The 11,631-nt window shown below is 41.9% G+C and overlaps 1 pseudogene, besides 1 other annotated feature; it reads right to left on the reverse strand.

Moving 5' to 3' along the window:
* Nucleotides 1,032-1,137, reverse strand: RNU6-293P (RNA, U6 small nuclear 293, pseudogene; annotated as a pseudogene).
* Nucleotides 10,802-10,904: a silencer, noted in NCBI's record as "fragment chr6:159357268-159357370 (GRCh37/hg19 assembly coordinates)". NCBI's record gives its function as "represses an EF-1alpha promoter that drives an FKBP-Casp9 reporter gene in an ReSE screen in phorbol 12-myristate 13-acetate-treated (for megakaryocytic differentiation) K562 erythroleukemia cells {active_cell/tissue: K562(+PMA)}" and the evidence as "EXISTENCE:reporter gene assay evidence [ECO:0000049][PMID:32094911]".

The following is an 11,631-nucleotide window of genomic DNA, read 5'->3' on the forward strand; positions in this document are numbered from 1 at the left end:
ATTCCTATCACCCAGTCACATCTTGATGATCCTGAACCTGTGTAGGCTAATGTATATGTATGTGTCTTAGTTTGTAACAACAAATTTTTAAAGTAAAAAAAAATAAAAAAATTTTTAAAATAGAAAAAAGTTTATAGAATAAGGATACAAAGAAAGAAAATAATTTTGTAAAGCTGTAAAATGCGTTTGTGTTTTAAGCTGTTTTGTAAAAGAGTCAAAAAGTTAAAACAAATTAAAAAGTTTATAAAATAAGAGAGTTACAGTAAGCTAAGGTTAATTTATTATAATATTATTATATAATTTATAATTAATTTATTATAATAATATTCTTTTAAAATATGGAACACTGCATGAATTTACATGTTGATATGGTTTGGCTGTGTCCCCACCCAAATCTCATCTTGAATTGTAATCCCCATAATCCCCACATGTCATAGGAGGGACCCAGCGGGAAGTGATTGGATCACAGGGGCAATTTCCCCCATGCTGTTATTGTGATAGTGAGTGAGTTGTCATGAGATCTGATTTTTTTTTTTTTTTTTTTGCGACAGAGTCTTGCTCTGTAGCCCAGGCTGGAGTGCAATGGCATGATCTCGGCTCACTGCAACCTCTGCCTCCTGGGTTCAAGTGATTCTCCTGCCTCAGCCCCCTGAGTAGCTGGGATTACAGGCACCTGCCACCTTGCCCGGCTAATTTTTGTATTTTTAGTAGAGACGGGGTTTCCCCATGTTGGCCAGGCTGGTCTTGAACTCCTGACCTCAGGTGATCTGCCCGCCTCGGCCTCCCAAAGTGCTAGGATTATAGGTATGAGCCACCGCGCCCTGCCGAGATCTGATGGTTTTATACATGTCTAGCATTTCCCCTGCTTGCACTCACTTCTCCTTCCTGCTGCCTTGTGAAGAAGGTGCCCTGCTTTTCCTTTGCCTTCTGCCACGATTGTGTTTCTTTTCTAAGGTCTCCCCAGCCATGCTGAACTGTGAGTCAGTTAAACTTCTTTCCTTTATAAATTACCCACTCTCGGGTATTTCTTTACAGCAATGTGAGAACAGATTAATTCACATGTCATCCTTGCACAGGGGCCATGCTGATCTTCTCTGTGTCATTCCTTAATTTATTACTGAAGAAAGAAAAATACTTGTTACACATTTAGCATAGCCTACGTGTACAATGTTTATCAAGTCCACAGCAGTGTACAGTAATGCCCTAGGCCTTCACATTCACTCACCACTCACTCACTCATTGACTCATCCAGGGCAACTTCCGTTCCTGTAAGCCTCGTCCATGGTAAGTGCGCCATTCAGGTGTACCATTTTTATCTTTTTGTAATTGTAATTTTAATTAAAATAAATTTTTTTTATAGAGTTGAGGTCTTGCTTCGTTGCCTAGGCTGGTGTTGAACTGCTGGCTTCAAGTGATCCTCCCACCTTGGCTTCCCAAAGTGCTAGGATTACAGGCATAAGCCACTGTACCCAGCCCATTTTTATCTTTTTTTTTCATTTTAAATTTAGTTTATTGGTTAAATCATGACATAGAAGTTCACTGTTCAAAAAATCATTAAAGATTATTGTGGCCGGGTGTGGTGGCTCACGCCTGTAATCCCAGCACTTTGGGAGGCCGAAGCAGGTGGATCATGAGGTCAGGAGTTCAAGATCAGCCTGGCCAATATGGTGAAACCCCGTCTCTACTAAAAAAAATACAAAAATTAGCTGGGCATGGTGGTGTGCGCCTGTAGTCTCAGCTACTCGGGAGGCTGAGGCAAGAGAATCGCTTGAACCTGGGAGGCAGAGGTTGCAGTGAGCCCAGATCGTGCCACTGCACTCCAGCCTGGGCGACAGAGTGAGACTCCGTCTCAAAACAAACAAACAAACAAAAAAACCAAAAAAGATTACTGCAAATAGCTGAAGACCTAGATCCTGAGACACAATTGCATTTGTTATGCATCTTAAAGTTTAATATTTTTATTGTACCATACAGGTTAGTACTGTTATTGTCAGTATGTACTTTCATAAAAACATATAGTATGAATCATTTTCTTTTAAAAATGCTTCAAGGCAGGGCACGGTGGCTCATGCCTGTAATCCCAGCACTTTGGGAGGCTGAGGTGGGGGGATCATGAGGTCAAGAGATTGAGATCATCCTGGCCAACATGGTGAAATCCTGTCTCTACTAAAAATACAAAATTAGCCAGGCATGGTGGCGGGCACGTTTAGTCCCAACTACTTGGGAGGCTGAGGCAGGAGAATGGCTTGAACCCAGGAGGTGGAGGTTGCAGTGAGCTGAGATCGCACCACTGCACTCTAGCCTGGGTGACAGAGCAAGACTCTGTTTCAAAAAAAAAAAAGTTTCTAAACCTTTTAAAATGTGTGTAATATAGAATACATACAAAAAATACATTTAAATGCACAGAATAATGGATTATTATGAAGTGAACCCAAGGACAATGGCCTAATGACTTTAGAAATAAACACCGTCAGTATTCCCAAAGTCCCATACCTACGTGTTCATTGCCTAACCTTTTGAGAATTTCTTCTTCTTTTTTTTGTTTTCAACTTTTATTTTAGGTTCAGAGGTACATGTACAGGTTTGTTATGTAGGTAAATATCATGTCACTGGGGTGTGCTGTATAGATTATTTCATTACCCAGGTAATAAGCATGATGCCTGCTAGGTTGTTTTTCCATCCTCACCCTCTTCCCACTCTCCACCCTCAGGTGGGCCCCTGTGTGTATTGTTCTCCTCTTTGTGTTCACGTGTACTCAGTGTTTTGCTCACACTTATAAGTGAGAACATGCTGGATTTGGTTTTCTTTTCCTTTGTTAGTTTGCTTAGGATAATGGCCTCTAGCTCCATCCATGTTGCTGCAAAGGACATTATTTTGTTCTTTTTCATGGCTGTGTAGTGTTCCATGGTATATATGTACTATATATATATATTTTTTTTTACCATTTTTATCTTTTATACCACTTTTTTTTTTTTTTTTTTTTTGAGACGGAATCTCTCTCTGTCACCCAGGCTGGGGTGCAGTGGCATGATCTCAGCTCACTGCAACCTCCGTCTCCTGGGTTCAAGTGATTCTCCTGCCTCAGCCTCCCGAGTAGTATACCATATTTTTACTGTACCTCTTATATGGTTAGATACACAAATACATTGTGTTACAGTTGCCTACAGTATTCAGTCCAGTAATGTGCAGTACAGGTTAGCAGCTCAGGAGCAAAGGGCTCTACCATAGACCCTTGGTGCACAGTAGGCGATACCATCTAGCTTTGTGTAAGCACACTCTGATATTCACATGATGATAAAATCACCTAATGAGGCATTTTTCAGAACATATTTCTATCATTAAGAGATTTGTGGCCAGGTGTGGCGGCTCATGCCTGTAATCCCAGCATTTTGGGAGGCTGAAGCAGGCAGATCATTGAGGTCAGGAGCTCGAGACCAGCCTGGCCAACATGGCAAAACCCCGTCTCTACCAAAAATACAAAAATTAGCCAGGTATGGGGGTGTGTGCCTGTAATCCCAGCTACTAGGGAGGCTGAGGCAGGACAATTGCTTGAACACAGGCAGCGGAGGTTGCAGTGAGCTGAGATTGCGCCACTGCACTCCAGCCTGGGCAGCAGAGGAAGAGTCTGTCTCAAAAAACAAAAACAAAAACAAAAAAACATTTGTAACTGCGTATGTTATGTATGCATGTATGTATCTATTTATCTATCTATCCATCTATCTGATGACTTTCTTTTCTCTCCAGGATGTATGGTGTTTTAGAAGAAATAATAGCTCAGTGGCACAAAGGATCAGAGAAATTCACACCTGAGATGTGGGAATCAATGACAAAGACAAAGATCTCTTCCCAGAGAATATTCTCCTTCATGCAGGAGCCCAGGAATACTATGCGACACTTGATACTAGCCCTGAGTATTGGCAGGTCCTGTACCTCCCATCTGAGGTGTGGTCATTTCTCCCACTTCTAAGAGTAAATGAATTATCATTCCCATCTTGATTGACTCATTTAACAAGAATAAGAAGCTCATATCTCAAGTAAGGGCTGGACCATGAGACCATGTGTCTTAGTCTGTTTGGCTGCCATAACAAAATACCTTAGACTGGGTCATTTATAAACAACAGAAATTGGTTGCTCACAGTTCTGAGGCTGGAAGTCCAAGATCAAGGTGCCAGTGGACTTGGTGTGTGGGGAGGGTGCTCTGCTCCATGAGCGGTGTGCTGTTGCTGTGTCATCATTTTGCCCAAGTGTCTTTTATAAGGACTCTAATCTCATTCACAAGAGTGGAGCCCTCCTGACTTAATCACTCCCCAGGGGCCTCATCTCTTCATACTACTACATTGGGTTTTAGGTTCCACCTATGAATTTTGGGAGACACCAACTTTCAGACCATAACAGCATGGTCCGTCAGCTGGTGAAGAAACAAACTGAGGTATAGCCACATAATGAAACAGTACTCAGCAATAGAAGGAATGGATGAATCTCAAAATAATTATACTGAGTGAAAGAAGCCAGAAAAAAAAAGAGTATGTATGGTTCAACATCTATAAAATTGGAGGCAATGCAAACACACCTACAATGACAAATCAGTGGCTGCCTATGGTTGGCAGGGTGGGTGTGGATCACAAACAGGCGTGAGAAAACTTTTATTATTTTTTCTTTTTTTTGAGAGGGAATCTCGCTCTGTCACCCAGGCTGGAGTGCAGTGGCGTGATCTCGGCTCACTGCAACCTCCATCTCCAGGGTTCAAGTGATTCTCCTGCCTCAGCCTCCTGAGTAGCTGGGATTACAGGCGCGCACCACCAAACCCGGCTAATTTTTTTGTATTTTTAGTAAAGATGGGGTTTCCCCATGTTGGCCAGGCTGGTCTTAAACTCCTGATCTCAAGTGATCTGCCCGCCTCGGCCTCCCAAAGTGCTGGGATTACAGGCGTAAGCCACAGTGCCTGACCAGAAAACTCTTGAGGGTGATGGATACGTTTATTATCTTGATTGTGGTGTTGGAGACATGGGAGCATATGTCCAAACTCATCAAATTGTATACCTTAAATATGTGGTGTTTATTTTATTTATTTATTTATTTATTTATTTTTGAGACAGGGTCTCGCTCTGTTCCAGCTGGAGTGCAGTGGCTTAAACATGGCTCAGCGAAGCCTTGACCTCCTGGGCTCAAGCCATCTTCCTGTCTTAGTCTCCCAAGTAGCTGGGACCACAAGTGCCCACAACCATGCTTGGCTAATTAAACAAATTTTTTTTTATAGAAATGGGGTTCCACTATGTTGTCCAGGCCGGTCTTAAACTCCTGGGCTCAAGTGATCCACCTGCCTTGGCCTCCCCAGTGGTTGGGATTATAGGCATGAGTCACAGCACCTTTGCTGTTTATTGTGTACCAATTATACCTCGACAAAGATGAACAAACAAAAAGAATATCTAAGCTGGGCCCAATGGCTCGTACCTGTAATCCTAGCATTTTGGGAAGTTGGGGTTGGAGAATCATTTGAGGCCAGGAGTTCGAGACCAGCATGGGCAAGGTAATGAGACCTCGTCTCTACCAATAAATACATAAATAAATAAATAAATAAATAAATAACTGAATAAATTAGCTGGACATGGCAGCACATGCCTGTAGCCTCAGTTGCTCAGGAGGCAGAGGCAGGAGGATGGCTTGAGGCTTCCCCAGCCAGGAAGTTGGGGCTGCAGTGCCTCTGCACTCCAGCTTGGGTGACAGAGCACGACTCTGTCTCAGAAAACAAGCAAACAAAGAAACAAACAAAAAGAATGTTGAAAGGAGGGCAATCTACAATAATTCTTAATGAGAAGATGGGAAAAGACTATGAAAATCTTTTGGACCACGCAGATGCTCACCAGTTCTCATTGATAAATCTTTCAAAACAGCTGCTCAACTTAAAGACGATTCTGTAGACTTTTGTTATGTAAAAAGACAGTGTTCCAAATTTGCTGACATTTTCTGACATGGTAAGTTGTTCTCAGAGACACAACTCCACAACTCCTGGCAGATTTTTTTTTTTTTTGAGATGGAGTTTGACTCTTGTCACCCAGGCTGGAGTGCAATGGTACGATCTCAGCTCACTACAACCTCTGCCTCCCGCGTTCGAGCAATTCTCCTGCCTCAGCCTCCTGAGTAGCTGGGATTACAGGTACGTGCCACCATGCCCAGCAAATTTTTGTATTTTTAGTAGAGACAGGGTTTCATCATTTTGGCCGGGCTAGTCTCGAACTCTTGACCTCAGGTGATCCACCTGCCTTGGACTCCCAAAGTGCTGGGATTATAGGCGTGAGCCATTGTGTCCGGCTGCAGATATTTTTGAAAACAAAAATAAAAACAGATGTATAACCTGATTCCTCATGGTTAGAGGAGATATTCTAAAATTGAGTATGCTAGTAACTACTTTTCAAAAGGAACTTTCAAAAATATTTTAAAAACAGATGTTTGGAACTATTTCTATTATTACGTGACTTTGTTACTGAAAATGATGTGTGTCGCTTTTAAAAAATCCATTCTTTCCCACTTCAAAAGTTGGCATCCCATACATATGTATACCTACTATGTACCCATAAAAATTATTTAAAAAGTTGGAACCAGAATCTTCTAACTTGCTTAAAATGTTTCACATTAAATTATCAGGCTTTCAAAGCATTTATTAAAATTACCAAAATGGAACACCCTCTGATTATTTATTTTGCAAGAACAACTGGTTGGATCAGAGAGGATTAAATTTGCTAGTGAATTTCAAGAAACAACTTCTGTGTAATTGATGAATGAGATTAATAAATATTTTAATTTAATAAACACAATATCTTTTTTCCATTTGTCTGTACTTATCTTTGTGAGATGCCTTTTTTAGCTAAGGTACTCATGAAAACCAAGTAATGAAATAACATGAACTTAAAACCAGACCTTCAAATTGCCCCATCATAAAGTATTAAAACAATATTTTAAAAAATTATGCAAAATTTAAAATCACATTGCTTGCTCTAAAATATTAATACAATCTATATATGCATAATACAGATTATATTTTATATGTACACACAATATTACTATTCCTTTTTTTTTTTTTAGGACGGAGTCTCGCTCTGTCACACAGGCTGGAGTGCAATGGCGCGTTCTCGGCTCACTGCAACCTCCACCCCCAGGTTTAAGCAATTATCTGCCTCAGCCTCCAGAGTACCTGGGATTACATGTGTGTGCCACCATGCCCGGCTAATGTTTTGTATTTTTAGTAGAGACAGGGTTTCACCATCTTGGCCAGGCTGGTCTTGAACTCCTGACTTCGCGATCCGCCCACCTTGGCCTCCCAAAGTGCTGGGATTACAGGCGTGAGCCACTGCGCCTAGTCATAATATTACTATTCTTAATGAAATAAAATGTTTTTTGGTACCATTCATAAATAAAGTAAAGCAAGCATTATTTTAGAAAACCCACTAATGTACTACTAAGGATGCAAGATGAAAAATGTGGTGACCTCTATTCTAGTGATGTTTCTGAAGATGCTGTAATTCTCTAGGTACTAGCACCCCTGGGATGCTACCCTCCCCGCACAACTAGTGACTGTGATCTGTGGGAACTGGCTGGGCTTACTGCTTGAACCCAGTCTTGTTCTAAAGATAGTTACGGAGTTTGTGTATACAAATTCAGTGTGCTGTCTTGGTTTTATTGGAACAGTCTCAGGTCTATAGCATGTCTAAAGCAATCAGTAATCACATTTGGATGTTGTGTTAGAATACGTGGTTATGATATGGTTTAATGTAATGACCTCCAAAAATAGCATAACACTCAGATGACTGTAAATTATTAATCAAGTCAATGTGGACTGGGAAGCACAGGTCCCAGAAGCAGCTGACCAAGCAAGTTTTATTACAGAAGACAGCACCCTAGCTATCCTTGAGCCATAACAATATCCATAAAAAACCCTCTGTATAGGCTCATTAGGGAGGCCAGAGTGATTTAGGGAATTATTTTGCAACGAATAAAAGCCTAACATTGACAAAAGTGAGAAGCCAGAGTGGAAATACTGTGATGATTTAGACTGCTTCTTGACTTCGGCTGGACCTTCAGGCCACCTGGGGCACTAGTATTTAAACACACACACAAAAAGTCCTCAAGGTATTCCGATATGCAGCCATGGTTGAGAACCACTTTTACAACCATAATCATCATTGCATTTGCTTCACTTTCACTTCTGGACATGATAGAGAAACTGGTACCCGACTTGCCCTCTGCTAAAAACGATAAAAGTAGACAGAATATATGCATCGACTGTTTTGGGGCATTGAGTAACAGGCAATGCTGGACTGGGATCATGAGATATGGGAAACACAAGATGAGCCCCAGGATCACCTGGCTTTCTGCCTGCTTTGGCACAGGGAAGTGAGATCCAAGCTGAGCAGTGACTTTACTGAGATGAAGAGGCAGAAATTGGGGCTTGGGGCTGCTGAAGTAGCTGAAGTCTGCAGAACAGGGTACTAGAGAAGAAGAGAGTTGTTCAGGACAATGAAGTCTGTGTGGGAAGTCTTTATGTGAATCCTTAACTTAGGACTAGGCTGTGATTGTCCAAGGCAGGCCTCCACGAGGCCTGTGCTGGGGCTGAGAGCGGCACAGTAATACTAGAACTTGCACGTTGCTTGGAGATGTTAGCGCTCTGGCCTAATGTGAACATTTTGGGCATTCGGGTGAGACCTAGAAAGGCTATGCCTTGGGAGTAAGGGCTATGCCTTGGGAGTAAGGACTATGCCATAAAGCAAGAACAATACTTTAGGACTAAGCTTTAAACCAAAATAGTTTCCTCCCAAACAAAGAATAATACTAGCCTAGCCTGATCAAAAGGATATAACAGTAATTTAAATGCCTGCCAGAACAAAACTCAACATCTTATACAGGAAGATGACATAATCCAAACTCCCTACGTCGTATCATTCACAATGTCCACCACACGATAACAAATTAGTAGACGTGCAAAGAAGCAGAAAAATGTGACCCATGATCAAGAAGAAAAAGCTATCAGTAACATCTAGATCCAATTGGTCTAAATGTTGAACTCAGCAGAGAAAGACTCTGAACAACTAATCTAAAAATATCCAAAGACTTAAAGAAAAGCATCGTCCTAATAAGATCAATGAGGAGTCTCAGCAGAGAAATGGGTTGATAAAAAAGGACCAATGGAAATGCTAAAACGAAAAATTACAATCTGTAAAATAAAAGTTTCACTGCTTAGCAACAGACTGCAGAAGAAAGGGCTGATGAATCTGAAATAAAGCAATAGAAATGATCAGATTTGAAGAATGAGAAGAAAAAACGAGCAGAGGTGTAGTGACTTATAGGGCAATTTCAAGTTGTCTAAATCATATGTAATTAGAATCCCAGTAAATGAAAAGAAAGAGAATGGCAGAAAAATTGTTGAAAGAAATAATAGCCTTGATCCCTCAAATTTAATGATAAACATCAGTCTACAGATACAGGAAGCTTGGAGAACCCTAAACAAGAGAACAAGAGAACTATACCTCAGTATATAATAGTCAATTTTATTTTACTTTATTTTTTTCAGACAGGGTCTTGCTCTGTCGCCCAGGCTGGAGTGCAGTGGCATGATCACAGCTAGACCTGTGTAGCCTAGACCTCCCAGGCTCAGGTGATCCTCCCACCTCAGCCTCCCATATAGCTGGGACCACAGGTGCACGCCACCGTGCCTGGCTAATTTTTAAAAGTTTTTGTAGAGACAAGGTCTCATTACGTTGTCCAAGCTGGTCTCGAACTCCTGGGCTCAAGTGATCCTCCCGCCTTGGCCTTCCAAAGTGTTGGAATTACAAGCGTGAGCCACTGTGCCCGGCTGATAGTCAAATTTATATTATAGAACACAAATTCAACAGTGGCAGAATCACATTGTCAACGCCAGCAGCATCAGGACAACAGGGAAGGAACGCCACAGTCACAGCCATAGGGGAACCCAGCTTTTTTGATGATGACAACCACCCAGGTACCTGTTAAGATACAAGTCCCTGGCCTCCATCCCAAGCCCACTGATCAGAGTCACTGGGGGAGCTGGGTGGTTAAAAAGCAACCAGATAACTCTCACTCTGGGCAAGTCAGGAAACTGCCGGAATTCCCTTTACTGAGGAGTGGCCGACTGGTGATTGTCTTGGAAAATAAGAAAGGTTGTGTTTTTTCAGTGTGATAAATTTAAAAATATTCTGTTAAATAGTATTTGCTTTGTTTTTTAATGTTTCACAAATTGATATTGATTAGTAGACAAAAGGATTGACCTGGCACAAACTTTACTTAGTTGGTGGAGATCCACAAAGCGATAATTATGCAGTCATAATTTGTGAAAACCCAGTATGCTAAAATCAATCCGTTTTCGGTAGAATGTTCTAATTCATGCCTCTTATCCAGTAAATATACATAAGCATTTTAACGATGTATAGAAACTCTTTCTTTTGTCAAAAATAGACAGGCCCACAGCACTATGATTTTGTGACCAGCTGCCCAACATAAGAAGGGCTGTATCCCCCTGTTGTTATTTATGTGAATCCGTAGAAGTCAGACTATCATCCATTTTTTTTTTTTTTTTTTTTTTTTTTGAGACAGAGTCTCACTCTGTTGCCCAGGCTGGAGTGCAGTGGCTCACTGCAAGCTCCACCTCCCAGGTTCACGCCATTCTCCTGCCTCAGCCTCCGGAGTAGCTGGGACTACAGGCACCCGCCACCATGCCTGGCTAATTTTTTGTATTTTTAATAAAGGCAGGGTTTTGCCATGTTGGCCAGGCTGGTCTATAACTCTTGACCTCAGGTGATCCGTCCACCTTGGCCTCCCAAAGTGCTGGGATTACAGGCATGAGCCACCGTGCCCGGCCAGACTATCATTCTTAAGAAGCAATTCCTTTAAAAATATAATCAGGCCAGGTGTGGTGGTTCATGCCTGTGATCCCAGCACTTTCGGAGGCTGCAGCAAGCGGATCACTTGAGGCCAGGAGTTCGAGACCAGCCTGGCTAACATGGGGAAACCCCATCTCCACTAAAAATACAAAAAAAATTAGCCAGGTGTGGTGGTGCATGCCTGTAATCCCAGCTACTTGGGAGGCTGAGGCAGGAGAATCACTTGAACCAGGGAGGCAGAGGTTGCAATGAGCCGAGATTGCACTACTGCCCTCCAGCCTGGGCAACAGAGTGAGATCGTCTGAAAAACAAACAAACAAACAAAAAAAACCCAAAAAAACAGGTCAGGTACAGTGGCTCACTCTTGTAATCCCAGCACTGTGGGAGGCTGAAGCAGGCGGATCACCTGAGGTCCGGAGTTTGAGACCAGCCTGGCCAATATGGCGAAACCCTGTCTCTACTAAAAATAAAAAAAAATTAGCCAGGTGTGGTGGCACATGCCTGTAATCCCAGCTACTCAGGAGGCTGAGGCAGGAAAATTGCTTGAACTGGGAGACGGAGGTTGCAGTGAGCCGAGATTGCACCACTGCACTCCAGCCTTAGCGACAGAGCGAGACTCCATCTCAAAAAAAAAAAAAAAAAAAAAAAAAAATCCGATTTCATTCTGGTCAACCAAATTTGACCAGAATGGGAAATCACATTTGAGCTATAGCTATAGTATTCTTTCAGCTCTCCAAAGGGA

Source organism: Homo sapiens, chromosome 6, assembly GCF_000001405.40.
Source record: "Homo sapiens chromosome 6, GRCh38.p14 Primary Assembly".
NCBI lineage: Eukaryota > Metazoa > Chordata > Mammalia > Primates > Hominidae > Homo > Homo sapiens.